We start from the raw sequence: 17,899 nt of genomic DNA, 5'->3' as shown, positions 1-17,899 counted from the left end.
CATAAATTCTTTCCCATCTCTTCTTCCACCCTCAGAAATTGCTTACAACTATGAAGCCAGGGCTGCAGCTAACACATTCTGCTCATGCTTGAACTGAAGCAATTACTGCTGAGCAGTCACCCTGCATAAACTGCAGAAGCATTGCTGACTTACTTATTGCCTGCTATACTATTCCAGGAACACACATGTTCTATCTTTATGGCAATTCTGTTTTTTATTAACGCCATGTGGCGCTCACTAAATCTAACAGGAAGCCCATCAGAGGACTAAGCCATTTTAACATCTCGATACTGAAGCAGATGAGGAGGGCTTGTTCTCAAAAGTTCCAAGCCTCTCTTGCAGGTTCTCTTGTTCCTAGGTTCTCTACTCTAAAGAAGAAAACACACTAAAATATTTTCTGATAATTGGAGTATTGTTCCAATTTGGCTATCTAATTAATTCTTAACCTTATTTTCTATTTTACTCTTTCTATATCTTTTATGCATAGATGACCCACCCTATATTTCCTGAGACTAGAGAAACTTGATCACCACCACTCACAGATCCCCGCTCAGAAGAGATTAATTCAGCATAAAACATTGCTGGGAGTGAGATACAAACTGGGAGACCTTTAGAGGCAAGCAGAGATAGAACATAAACTGTTCAAGGGAAAAGAGAACATGGTGCAGTATTCATTTATGTATGTCTAATACTAACTCATATTAATCTCTCAAATATTTGTTGGATGAATGAATGAATGAATGAATGAATGATGGAAGGGAGGAAGGAAGAAAGGAAGGAAGAAATAAGTGGGATCCTAAGAGAAAATGTCCAAGAAAACCCTCATCAAAATTAGAGGAACATTTTGTTTTATTTTATTTATTTTTGAGACAAAGCCTCACTCTGTCACTCAGGCTGGAGTACAGTGGCACGATCTCAGCTCACTGCAACCTCTGCCTCCCAGGTTCAAGCAATTCTCCTGCCTCAGCCTCCCAAGTAGCTGGGACTACAGGCACCCGCCACCATGCCTGGCTCATTTTTGTATTTTTAGTAGAGACAGGTTTTCACCATATTGACCAGGCTGGTCTTGAACTCCTGACCTCAAGTGATCCACCTGCCTCACCCTCCCAAAGTGCTGGGATTACAGGCATGAGCCACTACACCTAGACTAGAGGACCCTTTTAAACTAGACATTTGCTTATCTTGAAAGTTAAATTTCTAAAATAAAATTTAGACTACTGACTAAAGGGGTTATATGAGGCAACAGAGCAGGCAAACTTGAACTATTAGAGGGAAGGCAACATATAAGTTCAATGTTTTCTCACTCTTTGACTTCAAACAACATATCCAGTAGAAATTCACTCATTAAACTCTGACCTTTTACTATTCTTCCCCTTGTCTACACTCTAGAATTATCTGTTTTTTTTCCCCAAATATTAACAGCCTTCAAGTGTTCCTGGATCCTACTAGCAAATTGTGTGGGCTCAGTCAGATTCATGAAGGTGTAACTATCCTGGAGCCAGCTCAGCTCAAAGCAGAATTTTTTAAAGAATAGTTACATGATGTCCAAGACTGGAAAGACCGAGAACACCCAAGCACACATACGAAAAAGATTAGTATTATTTAGGTTCACAACTCATTTAATATGTTCAATGTATTACAATGCAAAAAAGAAATGGCATTTTAATTTCAATTTTTATTTTATTTCTTACCCTACTCAAATCTCATAATATCTTAATTGAAACCCGAATAGGAGCACATTTGGCTTTTTTTTTTCAATTTGAAAATGGGATAAGGAAGTTATGTTATTTTATTCATTTATTTATTCTTCTGAGACAGAGTCTCGCACTGTCGCCAGGCTGGAGTGCAGTGGCTCGATCTTGGCTCACTGCAACTTCCGCCTCCCGGGTTCAAGCGATTCTCCTGCCTCAGCCTCCCTAGTAGCTGGAACTACAGGCACATGCCATCACGCCCAGCTAATTTTTGTATTTTTAGTAGAGACAGGGTTTCACCGTGTTGTCCAGGATGGTCTCGATCTCTTGACCTCATGATCTGCCCACCTCGGCCTCCCAAAGTGCTGGGATTACAGGTGTGAGCCACCGCGCCCAGTCCAGGAAGTTATGTTTTAATGTTTTATTTCAAATGTAGTTTTTAAGGCACAACTCATAGCTTTGGTACTTTTCAAGAGTTGGTACTGTAAACCATGCTTTTACCCATTGCATGTCTCCACCAACAGCTCAGATGCAGGCAAAAGCACAAGTTGGTCTCTAATAAATATAAAGAATTTCTTCTGATACCTAATATTCTGGTATATGCATGAATGTTTCTGGCCTAAAATTATGACCCAGGTTCCAATGTGACATCTTACCAAGCCAACTACTAATCTTCAGCCCTTCACTGATTGCTTCTGAATCAGAAATAGCACCCAATGTAATGATTTCTGCTCATTTGTAATGCTTGAGAGTATGTTAATTTATTTCAATCTAATGCATTTTAATGGGCTAAAACTAATTTCACATTAACTCTACACATACTTTGTAGGCTTTCTCTTTACGAACTGATCTAAGTTTGGTGAATATTCACTTGATAGTTGCCCAGATATTTTGAGGGGCTTAAGTTTGAAGATTATTTCTTCTTTAAAATTAAATCCTTTTGATAGTTGTGATCATTTGTTTCTTGGTCCTTCCCATTTGGTTTCCAAAGACATTCGCAAATAATGAATCTTTTATTTGGCCCCATGGCATGGATACTGGATCACCTCCAGAAATAATGGTAGTTAATCAATTACTGTCAGAGAGACAAAGTAGAGAAAGCAAAATTATATTTAATCTGAGTCTTAGACTAATACCGTTACTCTAGGTTAATTTAAAGTAAGCTAGATTTGGAGCCCTTTACATGGCTCATCTTCTGAAGAACCATGTCATTGATGACAATAAGATAGCAACAGATGGGAAAGATGAGGAGGCTCTAATAGGTGTGAACACAAACAACAATAGCAATCAATTATTGAGGGTAATAGGATGTAATAGCCAATGTGAGATTAAAAAAAAAACAAGGTAGACAACATGTATGTATACATTGCACAATGTACCCAAGTCTCAAAGCATGAGTATTAATTACAGTTTTTAAAGGAGGAAAAGAAAGCATAGGTAGAGAGGGATGAAGGAGGTTGAAATTACTTCCCTGTAGAAATTTTGATGGGAGAAAATACATAGCAGCCTGTTTCTGTGATTTTACAGAGGACTCTTATATGCCAGCACTTGATAAGCATCTGGCACTGACCATTTGCGATCTTTCAAGGAATAAACATGGGGACAAAATAATTGCATTTTCCTGGCAAAGTACCTAAAGCTTTTTAGTTTTGACAGCTGCTTCTGGCCTATGGAGATGCAGTTTATCTGAGCCATACCAAGTTAAGGTTACTTCTGAGTGAATGAGGAGGGAAATACATACCTGTGCATGCCTGCTCTCAGGGAGGCAGAGTAACGCCAGTCAGGGTTGGGCTGTCGTGGCTGCAAAATCACAAAGAGAGTTTTCTGTTAAAATGACAAGACAATGTTCTCCCAGGAATGCTGCTAATTGATTAGTTACTCCCTTAAATATTTCCAGGCATCTAAAAAAGTATTGAATGAGCCATTTCATGTGTAACTCTATGATGATATCTACATATATAGCACTTTAGAAGAAAATTAGTTCATCAGGGTCCTCACACAGATTAGATACCCTGGAAGACCAGATTTAATAATCTTGTAAAGGCCACCTTTGGCTTTGCCTTGCCCAATACATGTCTGTGTTCTTAAAACACTACGGGAAGAACAGTCTGCTTTGAGAAAGGAAAAGCTTTCACTGCTTTTGCCCTCAAGTGCCCCATTAAGGGAACATTCCCAATTCAGTATTACAGCTATAACAGGGCACATGGCTACACAAGTTCTGCTGGCCTGGCTGGACTGCAGAGGACTGCAATCTGCTGCTGGCTTTGCAGACTGCAGCATATTTGACCCAGGGCGGATGTGCCCAGTCATAACACCAGCAACTGATAACAGTCTCTTTTCTGATTGAAGAGGGATACTAGGGAGAGGAAAACAAACTATTGCAGAGTTTGACCTTGTTTTGCTAGCTAATCCTTTTCATAAACTTGTACTTGTTCCTGCTCCTTCCTGAGTGCTTTCCCTCCTCACTGAATCACTGTTCACTAAGCTCTGATTGTTTAACAGGGAGTAGCTGAAATCCAAGAAAAACCTGATACATTTTGCATTAGTTGTGTATTGAAAAGATCTGTTGCCCTCTCTCTACAAACTCTCAGTCTGAAGGGGGAGAACAAAGAGGAAAATATGGGCACCTAAAGACTTAAAGACTGTTGGGGGAGTTATGTGCTGGTTAGAAGCTACTCAGAAATCACTGGGACATCATCAGTCACCATCACTGTCTTGTATCAGTAAGCAAAAATGTCACTGTGAAAAACTTGTGACACTCCTCTAGATGCGTTTTCATGGGCGGAGATTGAGGTGGCCCTGTCACTGAATATTGAGGTATAGTTGAATGAAAAAAATGGGGGATAAAAGTTGTATTTTGTATTTTCCTCTACATTATACTTACCATATTTGGTAGAAACAAAGCCATAGTAATATCAATAGACCATTCAAAACTGTCAATAATTCTTATTCCTATCATTCATATAGTTCCTTTAAGGGATGCAAAGTATTTAATAAACACATTTCTTCATAACACCCAGGAGAGAAATGATCACCATCTCAATATTCAGACAGATTTCTGGATGGCTACATGATATTTGGCATGCAGAGAATTAGCCAAAGTCAAGGCCCAGAAAAAGTTACAACTCTGGGATACTTTACCTCAATGGTCCTCACATGCTAACTGCTCTCTCTATTCTACCAATCTGCTAGCAAGATATGCATATGCAAGCTGCTTCCTCCTTTGTTTTCAAGTTCACAAAATGCTGTGGATATTCCATATAACATAGCATAAAATTATCTACAGACCAAATCAAAGGAGTTTCCATTATCTACTAGCGGTGTTAGAGGGAACAAAAGAAAATGTTTGCAAATCATTTTATAAACCTGGAAATATGACTAAAATACTTTTTATCAATCAGTCATCATCACCGTCTCTCCCCTCGCCATCAGGAGCACTATCGTTAGCTTGTCAGCTGAGAGAACCTTCCTTTGAGAAAGACTGTAACATCTGCTGAGAAATGTTGCCAATTTTTCTATGATTGGGTAACATTCATGATGAAAATTGCTGCAACTTGATCTTTGGAATGAAATCATCAAACTCATTTTGCTGAAAGGCACAGTTCCAGCAGGACTGACCAGGAAACTCAGTTCATTATACAATCTCACTTCCCCAATGACACATTTAATTTGTCATGCTGCTATTTTCTATACTAGTCCATCAGCAACAACATCCTTCTTAGATTCATTTGACAGAATCACAGTTACAAGATTTCTTATGGCAGTAAGATCAGGCAGGGAAAAGGAAAGGAAGAAAGCATATAATATGTTTTAAGTAGCTACACAGTACTAGATTTTGCACTTTATTACATACTGTTGCATGTATCCTAATTCTTTCTTTGTCAGACAGTAAACTCTATGAAAGGGATTATATCTGTTTTGCTCATTAGACACATGCATATCTTCAGATATTCATAAAAGCGTAGCTATATAGTCAGAGTCTAGCAGGCTTCTGGCATCTGGGAGGTTTTTAAAATGTGTTTAAATAAATGAACTATAATGCAAAGTCAACATTATTGTACTTAAATTGCAAAAATGAGACATCTGAACTTTGGAGAGATTAAATTACTTGTCTGATTGCTGAGTTCAGCTGACAGTCATGTTTAGGTCCCCTTAACACAAAAGTCTGTGTTTTATTTATATTTATTTATTTATTTATGAGATAGGGTCTTACTCTGTCATTTAGGCTGGTGTGCAGTGGCGCGATCTTGGCTCCCTGCAACCTCTGCCTCCCGGATTCAAGCAATTCTTCTTCCCCAGCCTCCCTAGTAGCTGGGATTACAGGCATCTGCCACCGTACCTGGCTAATTTTTGAATTTTTAGTAGAGATGGGGTTTCACCATGTTGGCCAGGCTGGTCTTGAACACCTGACCTCAGGCAATCCACCCTCCTCGGCCTCCCAAAGTGCTGGGATTACAGGCTTGAGCCACTGTGCCTTGCCAAAAGTCTGTGTTTTAAATAAATTTACATGAAATGACATATATTTTTCTTCTTTCTCTTTTTTACTTCTGAGTTTCCAGGATATTGATTTAAAACAATACAAAACTAAAAGTAGTAAAATGTACATGAGTTTCATCCAGAACTTGATTAAACTTGGAAAAATTCAAGTTGAAAAGTTGACTACTGATATATCTGACACAGTAAGACATATATTACTATCACAATTTCAATCACAGTTGAAATAACTGTGATTATTTAGTTCTTTAATACTTAGATGGTACCTCCCAGGACTATGCTTACTTTCTATTGGTGAAGAACTCTAATATGTCCTATTGCTTCAAAGGTTAGTCTTTTGGTAGAATAATGGTCACAAAACTCCATATGTGGAAAAAATCAATTAGGTAGTCCATATGGGTGATGTAGTATTACTGAAGAATAAGAATACACTTCAGTTCCTATTAAAATTATAAAAAAGATTTAATTTATCTTGTAATGGTATTATCTGTGATTTATGACATAGAATATTTGAGCTACAGAAGGATGAATCACCTCTTCTAAGATTTAAAGTAAAATAAGTTTAAAATACCCTATTTTATTAATAAACTCACACAACTACTCAATGAAATAATATGCTATCTTCGTACCATGGAAATCCATGTGGAAGACATCAACAAATTGCCCTCTGGGACATGAGACTGCATATAATATCTCCTTTTCCTTCCTAATAGGACTGTATTAAGAATATATCCACTGCAGATTTTGCATAGTGCTATTTTATGAACATTGATATAAACTGATAGGCAGAATTCCAAGATGGCCCCAAGATCCCTATATCCTGGTGTGCACACCCTGAATAGTCTCCAAGACTGTGATTGTGATGGATCTTATTCCCATGATTACATTATGCTATGTAGCACAGTTGGCTTTAAGAAAGGGAGATCATCTGGATGGGACTGACATAATCACATGAGCTCTTTAAATCTGGGTCTAGAGGTCAGAGACAGAAATCAGAGAGATCTGAAGCATAAGAGGGATTCCATGTGAGGGAAGATTCTCCAGTGCCAGCCATGAAGATGGAGCAGACCATGGGACAAGAGTCCTGAGTCCTCAGTTCTCTAGGAACTGAGAGTGACCCCAGGCCAATAGTAAGTAGGAAAACAGAGATCTCAGTCCCCAAACAACTGGATTCTGCCAACAATCTGAATGAGCTCGATAGTAGATTCTTCCTAAGAGCCTGCAAAGGACAACACAGCCCAGCTGTGTTCATTTCAGCCTTGAGAATACCTGAGCGGACAACTCAGCCACATGGTACAGGACTGTGAGATAACAAATAGGTGGTGTTTTAAACAACTTACTTGTGGTAATTTGTTACAAATCATCAGAAAAGGGATACATAGACTGTTCCGCATTAAGGCAAAAGGGAATATAACATTTAAAATAATCATTATGTTGCATATTGGTCTTCTAGTATATCAAAATGAGGGCTGGGCGCAGTGGCTCATACCTGTAATCCCAGCACTTTGGGAGGCCAAGGTGGAGACAGGAGTTCGAGAGCAGCTTGAACAACATGGTGAAACCCAAAAATACAAAATTAGCCAGGCATGGTGGCGCATGCCTGTAATCTCAGCTACTCGGGAGGTTGAGGCAGGAGAATCGCTTGAACCCTGGAGGCAGAGGTTGCAGTGAGCCAAGATCATGCCATTGCACTCCAGCCTGGGCAACAAGAGCAAAACTCCGTCTCAAAAAAACTAAAATAAAATAAAACACAAAGGTAATACATTTGAGAATTCTGGGTGGAATACTTTCCTCTGAATGTAGTCATTTAAAATGCTAATTTACAAACCAGGAAAGTAAAATAAACATAACTTTAGAACATACCTAATGGGTTCCAGTACAACAGAAAGTGCTAGGTCTGTTTAGTTCTGGATGCATAGCCTGCTAGCACAGCAGCTACTCTCTCACTCACAGTTGTACCTCCTTGGAGCCCAGAGTTCTGACCCTGGAAGGCCAGAAAGGAACTGATGGTGCTTATATGCCAAGGAACTAAGATTTCTCTTTACCTTTGCAATGTTGGATATTCCTTTGCATTTGTCAAGTTAAAATTCTTGAAAGAAAAACCCTTGTATAGTTTTCAGGTTAGCAGATTTAAAACACTGCAAAAGAATACTTTTAACCTTTGATTTTTGAAGTCATGGTTATAGATTATACTGCTCCAAATATTATCATATTAATAAGCTAAATTTATAGTTGTATTATCACATGCACAAAACATTGATCCAGGTGAAGTTCTGTAAAAGCCACATTTAAAGACACCTGTAAAATGCCATCATATTCAGCTAAACCTCTGGGTTTGGTGACAGGAATGTTTCCTCAAACATTTGCAAATTGACATTATTCTGACCTCTCATTGAGAGCAAAAATTGGTAGGCAACAAGCAAGTACCCAGAACTGACTTTGCTATTCTGTCAAGTAGACAGCATGCCAATAGGCAACCTATAATATGCCAGGCTGTGTCCCTGCAGAGTGTTCTGAGTTAGACCAGATGCCCATGTGATGGCTCACTCCTGGGTCAGAAGGAAACAGTAGGCCAATGACATTCAAGCTACAATAAATAGATTTCTTCTTCAGTCAGAATGTGTACAAGATACAGAAACAGAGAAGAGCTCAGCCATAATTCCATCTGGCTCAGCAGTCTGTAGAAAAATTGAGGAAAGAGGTAATTGAAATAAATTATTGTATCATCAGACCAAAGAAAATAAACTTTTTCTCAGAAGAAGAGTCCTGTGACCAATATGAAATTTGCAAACTAAAACAGCCCCAGTCATTATAAAGTGACCATCAGAGGATGAAAAACTGGAGTGGAAGCTCATAGATATGATTTCTTTGTCTATTCTGACCATTGTGCAATTTTTATAAATTCACTACTATGTCACTTTACAACGAGTGTAAACTCTGTTCCAGGATAGAGTCATCAGATAGAAAAATCAGTGCTGGGGGAAATAAAAGTAGGTGCCACTGAAAGAAGAATTAACTCTTTCAGGTCACTATACCTGGAATTAGGGTGAATATGCACACATAGTGGCAGAAATAACTGAAGGTTTGGTGACTACAAATTGCTTTAAAATAAGTGAAAGTGAATGCAAACTTAATTCATCTCTGCTACTCTTTCATAATTTCTACATGTTGTGCCAGCTGGGCCCACTGAGACACTGTTGGACAAATCTACTAGAGTACTCAAAGTGACTCATTAACAATCACAACACCACGACCACAAATGCACAGAATCTACCTTAAGATTTGGTTTCCTTTGCCGGGCATGGTGGCTCACATCTGTAATCCCAGCACTTTGGGAGGCCAAGGCGGGTGGATCACAAGGTCAAGAGATCGAGACCATCCTGGACAACATGATGAAACCCCATCTCTACTAAAAATACAAAAATTAGCCAGGCGTGGTGGCGCGTGCCTGTAATCTCAGCTACTCAGGAGGCTGAGGCAGAAGAATCACTTTAACTTGGGAGGCGGAGGTTGCAGTGAGCCGGGATTACGCCACTGCACTCCAGCCTGGCAACAGAGTGAGACTCCATCTCAAAAAAAAAAAAAAAAAAAAAATTTGGTTTCTTTTTATGGAGACTCTGAAGGGAGTGCCAACAACATTCAGTATCAAGTTCAGAAATTTCCAAAGAGAAATTCTGCCCTATTGCCAAATAGTTACTTCAGAATCCTCACTGCACAAGTGATTTATGAAATAAGCTCACTGGGGGTAAAATCTACCAACAGATTAGAGTCTGGGGTTAAATGCTGATGTTTAATAAGCAACAAGAGAAAAATCAGTGAAATAATAAAAATAAAAGATCTTAACAGGGTTTGCCAATAGTGAAGCAAATAAACAAATACAAATATACTAACAGCATGTGCAACATAGTGAGACCCCCATCTCTTCCAAAAAAAAAAAACACCTAAAAACTAGTCAGACACGGTGGCGCACATCTATGGTCCAAGCTACTCAGGAGGCTGATGTGTGAGGATTGCTTGAGCCCAGAAGGTCGAGGCTGCAGTGAGCCATATTCACACCTATACTCCAGCCTGGGTGACAGGCCAAGACTCTGTCTCAAAAAAATAAAAATAAAAAAATAGTAGTAACTCACTGATATTCCCATTTGTTACCTGCTTCTATGCCAGAAATTACTCTTTTTCCAAAAGCAGTTAATATATACGACTAGGTGAATTAGTGATAGCTTAAATGCCTGAATATCCCATATAAAAGGGAATATAAACATTGGAACTTCTGTCTACTCATAGTATTGAAAAAAAGTTTTTGGAGTCAGATGGATACAACTTAAAATAACACTAGCAGTGTGGCTGTGTAGATTACCTAACCTCCCTGAGCTTATTTCCTCATATGCTAGATGTTAACAAATATTTAACGCATGACTTGCAGGTAATGAAATCATATATGTATTCAATATTATAATATTCAATATATTGAATAATCTTGAATAATATTCAAGATTCAGTAATATGAGATATATGTATGTGTATATGTATGATATACATATATCTATATAGCAGGGTGGTTAGTGAGTACAAATTCCCTTACTCTTCCTCTCTAATTCCCATCTACTTTTAATGTAGGCACATGGTACTAATTGTACCCCAGGACTCTCCTGCCATCTGTAGTAACTAGGTAGGAAAAAAAGAAAGCCCAACATGGGAATTTAACAGGTTGATCTGGCAATGATGACTTTCAGAACTGAGTGGCTTTTGCTCCTATCTTGCCACACTGTAACAATGTGACACTCTCTCCCTATAACTGCAAAAATTTCTGGAGCTGTAGATCTTGGGGTTCTTCACTGGATTTCCAAAAGTGCCTGGCAGAAATTTGCCTTTATTAAAGTCATGCACTCTCCTGGCAAAATCTCCCAAAAGCAAGCACTTTCTGAAATAATTTTCTCCCTAGATTAAATGTTTGTGTACCAAAGTACATATTAATATACAGGTCAGTGTAAGACAGAAATAGTTTATGTATCAAATTGCCCCAAGCTTTGAGTCAGGAGAGGGAGGGTAACAGTGTCTTTCCTCTGAGCTTCCGGCTTACAGCTGGTGGCAAAGCTGAGCCTGGCCTGACTTGTTCATGCCTCTTCACCACCTGTAGCCCACCCCAATCCCAAAGGGCTTCACAAGAATTTGTTAAGCAAATGTCTACAGCAACCTTATTTAAAGCTAAACCCTTTTACGTGCTTTCAAATGCTACGATCTAAAGACTTCTGGAAACTCTTTGATTTATTCCCCCATTTTTCTTAATCTACAATCTGCCTCCCATGGTTTCTCAGCATTGACTAACACCAGGCACTTCTGATAAATGAATAAATCTATCTGAAATGTCCATGAGAAAAATCTACTCTCAATCAGGAATGGAACTTTTGTGCCTGTGCATTACATTCCTCAAGATTACCATGAACTTGAAATGTAACAATATGGATATTACATACAATATGTATGTACAGCAATATGTCAATGAAAATATATTGCAAAAAATAGAGGAGAGACAAATATTGTTCACACATTGTGTAGTAGCTCTAAAAGCCCTTTCTACAAAGTAGTTATTTGGAAAGATAACAATTCATCACTATTTATGGTACAAAATTTTGGCTTTTGAAATCCAAGTTTTAAGTATCACAAAGCATATCTCTGTTATTTCAAGCATACATATGGAGACGAACACACAACACAAACACACACACATATTCATCTACTTTCTAATAATTTATGTACATTCTTCATAATAATGAACAAGCTGGCCTTATACCTACTTAAATCTCAAAACTAGTGCATATACTAACACCTGCCTCTACACCTTACTGTAGGGTAAGCCATCCACTTTCCAAGCCAGCCTTTTGAAGCTATAGCAAATCAAATTTTAGATCCAGAAAATGAATGCATGCTTTGGAAGTACTGTCATTTAACTTAAAGACATGAAGGACTTGAAAAGGCTACTTTACATCTCATCAAAACCATAGAAACTGTCAACAGAAAATCAGAAGATTACAGGCTGCATTTAAGCTAAATTCAGGGAAATCCTCTTACAATGAATTCAGAGTATGCCAAGAAAGGTGACTATTGGGAGAATTCTTTTTCCCTTCTCTTCCTTCTAATCCCAGCTTCTCTTGGTCTTCACCATCCCCCCACACCCCTAATCCACTCATTCTAATACCTCCCTGGACCAACCAGACAAATTGGTACTTAATCTCTCTGCCTCACCATCATCCACTCCCTCTGACAGCCCTCTACAGAAGAGTTGCCACATCATACAGCCAAAGCAAACTTTAGCTTCAGTATGATGTCTAAATACTACAGCTTTATCACTTGTGACATGCATTTCCAGAGGATCCTATCACATAGGTTCAGTGCAAGTACCAGAAATATTAACTAGATAATTTCCACTGTAGACAGTCCAGAGTATAAACAGAGACAGCAGATAGTGGTGACTATGATAGCCCCTAGAGGCCTCAGAGCTTTTTAAGAAACATCACTCATATAGGATTTCAAAAGAAAAATTTCCCTGTAGATGATACAGCAGAGGCCATTTCTCCTTGAGTCTCATAACATTACTCCCTAAAACATAATCCCTATTCCAAGGCCTGTCCTGTTTCTCTACAAATCTGTGTTTTAGCATTAAATATTAAGACTAATCCTCACTTCTCAAACAATTTTATGGACAAGGCTTCATGCCTCTGAAAATGAAAAATAAAACAATTCTTTAGTGCTATTTTTCTAGAGAGGAAATAGCAGATTATGATCAAATTGTGGATACTATATATACTCAGTTTACCAGATAACTCTTGTCACTGTTAATGACTCAATAAAGCCAAATCACAGGATATTGGGGGATGTGTAACAAATGCATGAGTTTGTAGAAGACCCCCTGACCACTGTCTCACCTCATTTTGAGAAACAGCCTCATTTTTGAGAATAATCAGGTTCCCAGCATTCTGACCACTTTGGCCTGTGAGATTCCTGCTGTCAGTCACTGCTGCTTGGGCTCCCGAAGGCCCTGGTCCTGTCTGGGCCCCTGTATTGTAAAACATGAAAGTGTCACTCCCTGAGCCTGCTGTCAGACAGGCCTTGTAGCAGTAGGTCTTGGTGAGGGAGCCATTCCCTCGAACTTCAATGAAGTGAGGCTGCACTTTGAGGCCATGCGGTATCCTGGCATCAATATTGTTGTTGGCTTGTTTGTACAGTTCTGCAGGGGACCTTTCCCTTACTCCACAGAAGCCTCCACAGCATGCAGTGCCATACGCAGTGTAGCGGTAGCACTTGATGATGCTCAAAATGATGATTGTCAAAAGAAATATAAAAGACACTGTGCTTAATGCTATTATTAGATAAAGGGTAATTTCAGAGTATGTCCGAGGGCTCTTAACATGCCTCTGAGTGTCAGGGAGGATTTTGGAAACCCTATCCACCACAGCTACTGTAATGGCCACAGAGGCTGATAGTGATGGCTCTCCATTATCTCGGACCACCACGGTCAGGTTGAAAGTGCTACCACTCTCATCTCCCATCTTCCTGGTAGTCCTAATTTCTCCTGTGTGCAGCTCTACCTTAAAGAGGTCCAGGTCAGAAGTCTGGGCTAGATGGTAAAAAAGCCAAGCATTTTGCCCAGAGTCTGAGTCCATAGCTATGACTTTGGTGACCAGGTAGCCAGCAGGGGCAGTTCGAGGCACCATCTCGAAGGCTGCTGACGAGTTGGTTGAGGTAGGGTACAGAATGTGAGGGGCATGGTCATTCATGTCCACCACATATACGTTGGCAGTCACAGTGCTGCTCAGTGGTGGGCTCCCCTTGTCCTGAGCCTCCACAGTCACAAAGAACTCCCGAAACTTCTCATAGTCAAAGGAGTTGACAGCATAAAGGCTGCCACTGGCACTGTTAATGGAGACATAGGAGGTGACTGGCAGCCCTTGAATCTCCCTCTCCAGAAGGGAGTAGGTCACCTCTGCATTCTCCTTTTCATCTGGGTCTGTGGCTTGCACAGTACAGAGCAACACACCTGGCAAATTGTTCTCCTGTATGTAGATGGAATAGGAGTCCTCCAGGAAGCTTGGTGGATTGTCATTGATGTCAGAGATCTCAACCTTCAGTGTACGCAGGGATGTGAGCTGCGGTATTCCCCCATCTGTGGCTGTCACCGTGATGTTGTAGACAGCCACCCGCTCTCGGTCCAGTGGGCCGCTCACCACCAGTGTATAGGAGTTTCCAAAGCCATTCAGTCGGAAAGGCAGTGTGGCCTCCAGACCCAGGCTCACTTTCCGGTTGGGGCCTGAGTCTTGGTCATTGACACTGAGAACGGCCACAATGGTGTTGGGTGTAGCATTCTCAGGCACTGGGCTATACAGGTCCGTGAGCACCACCTCTGGGGCATTGTCATTCACGTCCACGATGTCCACCAGCACCTTGCAGTGACCTGCCATGGGCACTGGACCCCGGTCAGTCGCCTGCACATAGATCTGGTAGGAGGAGGCTTCCTCATAATCCAGCCCCCCAATTACTCGCACTTCCCCGGTACTGGCATCTATGCTGAAGAGCTGCCTCTCCCGGTCCGACGTGTAGCTGCTCAAGGAGTACCTGAGCTCACCATTGGAGCCCTCATCCGGGTCTGAGGCATTCAGCTTCACCACCAATGTGCCTGGGGGTGAGTCCTCCCGTAGCTGGACGCGATAAGTGGACTGGTCAAAGGCAGGAGAGTTGTCGTTAGTGTCCAGGACACGCACAGAGATCTGTGCCGTACCCGAGCGGGCTGGGATGCCCCCATCCACGGCTGTGAGAACCAGGTGGTGCAAGGCTGCCTGCTCCCGGTCTAGGCCCTTACGCAGCACCAGCTCAAGCACTTTACTGTTCTCCTGCAGGGGCTTAAGGTCCAGCTCGAAGTGCTCGCTGGGGCTGAGCTCGTAGGTCTGTACTGAGTTGGCGCCCACGTCGGGGTCCTGCGCACTCTCTATGTGAAAGCGCGCTCCAGGCGCCACCGATTCGCTTACCTGAAGCTGGTAGTTGGGCCGCGGGAAACGCGGTGAGTTGTCGTTGATGTCCAATATTTCCACCTCAACGGCGCTCACCGCCACGGGGTTGTGCGCCAGCACTTCCAAGCTGAGCAGGCAGCGAGGCCGCTGCTCACACAGCGCCTCCCGATCAATGCGCTCGTTGACGAAGAGCGCTCCACTCGTCAGGTCCAGCTCCAGGTAGCGCGGACTGGGCGCACCCAGATGGTTGATGCGCAAGCAACCCGGCCCCAAGCGCCGCAGCTCAAGCCCCAGCGCGCGAGCCACGTTGCCCACGAGCGCGCCGGGTGCCTGCTCCTCTGGCACAGAGTATCGCAGCTGGGAGGCCGCAGGGCCAGGTAGCAGCAGCAGCAACAGCAGCAGGAGAGGCAGTAGCAGCAGCCAGGGCATGGGCCGCCGGAGCCGTGGATGCTCTGTCGCCGCAGGTCTGGTGCCCGCCTGCTCCATAGCCACTGGCCGCGGCGGAGGCAGCCGGGCAGGGCCGGAGGCGGCAGCTTCCCCAGCCGTGCCCCACGCCCGGGCCCCGCCTCCGCTCGTGCCACCCTGCGCCTGCTCCCCCACCGCTCACGCTCTAGAAAGCGCCTGGGGCCGCTCCCTCCGTAGGCCCTCCCAAGGGCTCCTGGCCCCACCGTCCTCGCTGACTCCCCATATTCCAGCTCCTCCGCTCGCCTCCGAGTCGCTCAACCCGGCTCGGCTTCCTGCTGCTGCTGCCGCTACAGCTCCAGGGGGAGGGAAAAGGAAACAGAAGGGAAGACAGAGGGGGAGGGGGAAAGGGAGCGGTAGGAGGGCTCAGCAAGTCCTGCTCTGATTCCGCGCCGAAGTGGCGGACAGCGAACCCGGACTGCTCAGCCTCTCCAGCCCCATCTCCTTCACCCTGGACCTGCCGGATCCCAGCGGACCGCAGGAACACGGCCACTCCCTTTCTCCCTACCCCCACTGTCCAGTTCATCCAGTCTCCACCGTCTCTCCCCTGCTTAACGGGTCTTTAAGGAGATTAGTCTGGGAAAAGCAGTCAAGCCCCTAGAAGTCTGGCTATCAGCTCCCCAGGAAAAGATCTCCAAGCGCAATTCAGGAAAATAAACTGAGGGGCCTTAGCTAAGTATGGGCACCCAGGCGGCGGATCTAACATTAAAAGGAAACAACGCAGGGGGAGGCGCTCTGGGGTTACTGGCGATGGGAACTATTCACCTGACTCCCACATCTTCCCTGGACACTCTTAAGTACTGCAGAAAGTGCTCAACTCCTAGGGCAAAAGGAGGGGGATGGCAAATGCTGCCCTCTTTCCGGGAGCAAGCCTAAAACCAGCATCCTGGGATCCAAGACTCAATTCTGCTCTCGGCCAAGTGGCCCTTATTTTCAGTGTGTGCCTTGGCAAATAACCAATATTTAAATGTTTAAAATGCTCTGTTTAAAAAAATAGTCTCCATGAAGCTGTAGGCAAATCTATTATTTGACCCATTTTGGCGACAATGGGGAAAATCTGGTAAAATTTTTAAAGAGATTCTTCTCTCAAGCTTTTTCTAATCTTGCTTCAAATCTTTTACATTTATCACCCAAGACATTTTCTTTCAAGAGTAATTTAAAATTTTTTCTTTAATGGATGACAATGTCTTCAAGAGTCTGCAAAACCATTAAATCAAGAGCGTTACTGTTGATCTCCTAAGCCAGGCTGGAATTTGGATTCCATTAATGCTTTGCAGTTAAAAAAAAAAAAAAATCTGCTGTCATTAAGCAAAATGTGGGAGTCTGGGATTTATCTTACAATAACCAGCAATTTCAATGACTGCAGCTTATCTTCCTTAAATATAAGACTCCTTAGACTTCTGTTCTTCTGTGTCCCCAAGTTTCCTCTTGTACTGCTATAGAGGCAACACAGAGACAACAAATTCACTTCAGTAAAAGAGAAGGTAGAAGGATCAGAGGAAATCTTTCCATGCTGTGTCATTGCCTCTGCTGCTCAGTTCTGAATATTCACTCTTCCCAGGTTCTCACATTTCTTCCACAGGAATTTGAAATCTATTGCCTCATGTGCAAAAAAAGCACTCACTAAAACGTCCTTTCTCTTCATCTCCCAGTATTCTGTCATCTGTAGATCTTCCTCTATGGGTCATTTTCTAGCTATGGACTGGAACAAAGTCAGAGTGAGACCTGACATTTGGCATGCTTCCCTCCTAGAGCGGACAGTTAAAGGAGCCAAGGTTGTGATCCTGACACCCAGAATTCAAAGGCCTGAACTAGCACATCCCTTCGTTCCACCAACCAAGCACACTCACTATCAATGCTCCACTACCTAGCCAGTGTTATTCCAGAGAAGCGCCCAGCCTCCTATCACTGCTGCTTCTTATTTGTCCTCTTTGTTTCCTCAAGGGTACAGAGTAGGAAGCAATTTTCATCAAAATCTATTCCTGTCTCCTTTCTTGGGTCTCTGGCTTCTTCCTCTTCTCTCTGCATCCTCCCCAAACATCCCTACAATAATTCTGTCTCAGTTTGCTGTGGTAATTTGATCTCGGAGGCCTTAATCTCTCAAGTGCACAAATTGTGGACCTGGCCTGTGTCCTCACCCATTACTTGTTTCTGAAAATAAATGGCTTATAAGTGGAATCAAGTTGTAAGTTGTCATGAAAAGTGATCTTTCCTCCCCTTATCTCCTCCCAGCCCTCCAAGTCGCTGCCA

General features: G+C 42.3%; 15 protein-coding genes, 1 gene segment (V, D, J or C) and 1 further gene; all 17 read right to left on the bottom strand.

Moving 5' to 3' along the window:
• The window catches only part of PCDHACT (protocadherin alpha constant), a 33,396-nt gene extending 29,905 nt beyond the window's left edge, over nucleotides 1-3,491 (bottom strand). The window contains exon 1 of the C gene segment in view: nucleotides 3,433-3,491. The product of the transcript in view is annotated as a protocadherin alpha constant (C gene segment).
• PCDHAC2 (protocadherin alpha subfamily C, 2) overlaps nucleotides 1-15,964 on the bottom strand; it is a 45,872-nt gene extending 29,908 nt beyond the window's left edge. The window contains exons 1-2 of one of the 2 annotated variants that reach the window (NM_018899.6): nucleotides 13,109-15,964; nucleotides 3,433-3,491 (exon numbers count right to left, since the gene is read on the bottom strand). In NM_018899.6, the coding sequence (NP_061722.1) occupies nucleotides 3,433-3,491; nucleotides 13,109-15,673 (2,624 nt within the window). In that variant the 5' untranslated portion in view covers nucleotides 15,674-15,964. Of the gene's footprint in view, nucleotides 1-3,432; nucleotides 3,492-12,959 lie in introns of those variants that run through there. The other variant, NM_031883.3, reaches the window with a different exon arrangement.
• PCDHA@ (protocadherin alpha cluster, complex locus) overlaps nucleotides 1-17,899 on the bottom strand; it is a 226,209-nt gene that overhangs the window by 29,905 nt on the left and 178,405 nt on the right.
• PCDHA1 (protocadherin alpha 1) overlaps nucleotides 1-17,899 on the bottom strand; it is a 226,208-nt gene that overhangs the window by 29,908 nt on the left and 178,401 nt on the right. For both annotated transcript variants that reach the window (NM_018900.4, NM_031411.3), the window contains exon 2: nucleotides 3,433-3,491. In NM_018900.4, coding sequence (NP_061723.1) covers nucleotides 3,433-3,491 — 59 coding nt within the window. The remainder of the gene's footprint in view (nucleotides 1-3,432; nucleotides 3,492-17,899) is intronic.
• Nucleotides 1-17,899, bottom strand: part of PCDHA2 (protocadherin alpha 2) — a 217,496-nt gene that overhangs the window by 29,908 nt on the left and 169,689 nt on the right. The window contains exon 2 of the mRNA NM_018905.3: nucleotides 3,433-3,491. Coding sequence (NP_061728.1) covers nucleotides 3,433-3,491 — 59 coding nt within the window. The remainder of the gene's footprint in view (nucleotides 1-3,432; nucleotides 3,492-17,899) is intronic.
• PCDHA3 (protocadherin alpha 3) overlaps nucleotides 1-17,899 on the bottom strand; it is a 211,291-nt gene that overhangs the window by 29,908 nt on the left and 163,484 nt on the right. Inside the window, exon 2 of the mRNA NM_018906.3 lies at nucleotides 3,433-3,491. Within this exon, the coding sequence (NP_061729.1) occupies nucleotides 3,433-3,491 (59 nt within the window). The remainder of the gene's footprint in view (nucleotides 1-3,432; nucleotides 3,492-17,899) is intronic.
• PCDHA4 (protocadherin alpha 4) overlaps nucleotides 1-17,899 on the bottom strand; it is a 205,280-nt gene that overhangs the window by 29,908 nt on the left and 157,473 nt on the right. The window contains exon 2 of the mRNA NM_018907.4: nucleotides 3,433-3,491. Coding sequence (NP_061730.1) covers nucleotides 3,433-3,491 — 59 coding nt within the window. The remainder of the gene's footprint in view (nucleotides 1-3,432; nucleotides 3,492-17,899) is intronic.
• Nucleotides 1-17,899, bottom strand: part of PCDHA5 (protocadherin alpha 5) — a 190,735-nt gene that overhangs the window by 29,908 nt on the left and 142,928 nt on the right. Inside the window, exon 2 of the mRNA NM_018908.3 lies at nucleotides 3,433-3,491. Within this exon, the coding sequence (NP_061731.1) occupies nucleotides 3,433-3,491 (59 nt within the window). The remainder of the gene's footprint in view (nucleotides 1-3,432; nucleotides 3,492-17,899) is intronic.
• Nucleotides 1-17,899, bottom strand: part of PCDHA6 (protocadherin alpha 6) — a 184,388-nt gene that overhangs the window by 29,908 nt on the left and 136,581 nt on the right. For both annotated transcript variants that reach the window (NM_018909.4, NM_031849.3), the window contains exon 2: nucleotides 3,433-3,491. In NM_018909.4, coding sequence (NP_061732.1) covers nucleotides 3,433-3,491 — 59 coding nt within the window. The remainder of the gene's footprint in view (nucleotides 1-3,432; nucleotides 3,492-17,899) is intronic.
• PCDHA7 (protocadherin alpha 7) overlaps nucleotides 1-17,899 on the bottom strand; it is a 178,079-nt gene that overhangs the window by 29,908 nt on the left and 130,272 nt on the right. Inside the window, exon 2 of the mRNA NM_018910.3 lies at nucleotides 3,433-3,491. Coding sequence (NP_061733.1) covers nucleotides 3,433-3,491 — 59 coding nt within the window. The remainder of the gene's footprint in view (nucleotides 1-3,432; nucleotides 3,492-17,899) is intronic.
• Nucleotides 1-17,899, bottom strand: part of PCDHA8 (protocadherin alpha 8) — a 171,161-nt gene that overhangs the window by 29,908 nt on the left and 123,354 nt on the right. Inside the window, exon 2 of the mRNA NM_018911.3 lies at nucleotides 3,433-3,491. Within this exon, the coding sequence (NP_061734.1) occupies nucleotides 3,433-3,491 (59 nt within the window). The remainder of the gene's footprint in view (nucleotides 1-3,432; nucleotides 3,492-17,899) is intronic.
• Nucleotides 1-17,899, bottom strand: part of PCDHA9 (protocadherin alpha 9) — a 163,966-nt gene that overhangs the window by 29,908 nt on the left and 116,159 nt on the right. The window contains exon 2 of the mRNA NM_031857.2: nucleotides 3,433-3,491. Within this exon, the coding sequence (NP_114063.1) occupies nucleotides 3,433-3,491 (59 nt within the window). The remainder of the gene's footprint in view (nucleotides 1-3,432; nucleotides 3,492-17,899) is intronic.
• Nucleotides 1-17,899, bottom strand: part of PCDHA10 (protocadherin alpha 10) — a 156,451-nt gene that overhangs the window by 29,908 nt on the left and 108,644 nt on the right. For both annotated transcript variants that reach the window (NM_018901.4, NM_031860.3), the window contains exon 2: nucleotides 3,433-3,491. In NM_018901.4, the coding sequence (NP_061724.1) occupies nucleotides 3,433-3,491 (59 nt within the window). The remainder of the gene's footprint in view (nucleotides 1-3,432; nucleotides 3,492-17,899) is intronic.
• The window catches only part of PCDHA11 (protocadherin alpha 11), a 143,391-nt gene that overhangs the window by 29,908 nt on the left and 95,584 nt on the right, over nucleotides 1-17,899 (bottom strand). Inside the window, exon 2 of the mRNA NM_018902.5 lies at nucleotides 3,433-3,491. Coding sequence (NP_061725.1) covers nucleotides 3,433-3,491 — 59 coding nt within the window. The remainder of the gene's footprint in view (nucleotides 1-3,432; nucleotides 3,492-17,899) is intronic.
• Nucleotides 1-17,899, bottom strand: part of PCDHA12 (protocadherin alpha 12) — a 137,040-nt gene that overhangs the window by 29,908 nt on the left and 89,233 nt on the right. Inside the window, exon 2 of the mRNA NM_018903.4 lies at nucleotides 3,433-3,491. Coding sequence (NP_061726.1) covers nucleotides 3,433-3,491 — 59 coding nt within the window. The remainder of the gene's footprint in view (nucleotides 1-3,432; nucleotides 3,492-17,899) is intronic.
• Nucleotides 1-17,899, bottom strand: part of PCDHA13 (protocadherin alpha 13) — a 130,224-nt gene that overhangs the window by 29,908 nt on the left and 82,417 nt on the right. Inside the window, exon 2 of the mRNA NM_018904.3 lies at nucleotides 3,433-3,491. Within this exon, the coding sequence (NP_061727.1) occupies nucleotides 3,433-3,491 (59 nt within the window). The remainder of the gene's footprint in view (nucleotides 1-3,432; nucleotides 3,492-17,899) is intronic.
• PCDHAC1 (protocadherin alpha subfamily C, 1) overlaps nucleotides 1-17,899 on the bottom strand; it is an 86,049-nt gene that overhangs the window by 29,908 nt on the left and 38,242 nt on the right. Inside the window, exon 2 of the mRNA NM_018898.5 lies at nucleotides 3,433-3,491. Coding sequence (NP_061721.2) covers nucleotides 3,433-3,491 — 59 coding nt within the window. The remainder of the gene's footprint in view (nucleotides 1-3,432; nucleotides 3,492-17,899) is intronic.

The sequence above is a fragment of the Homo sapiens genome, chromosome 5 (assembly GCF_000001405.40).
Source record: "Homo sapiens chromosome 5, GRCh38.p14 Primary Assembly".
Taxonomy (NCBI): Eukaryota; Metazoa; Chordata; class Mammalia; order Primates; family Hominidae; genus Homo; species Homo sapiens.
The sequence above is the reverse complement of the archived record's forward strand: the minus strand, read 5'-3'. Positions and strand labels throughout refer to the sequence as shown.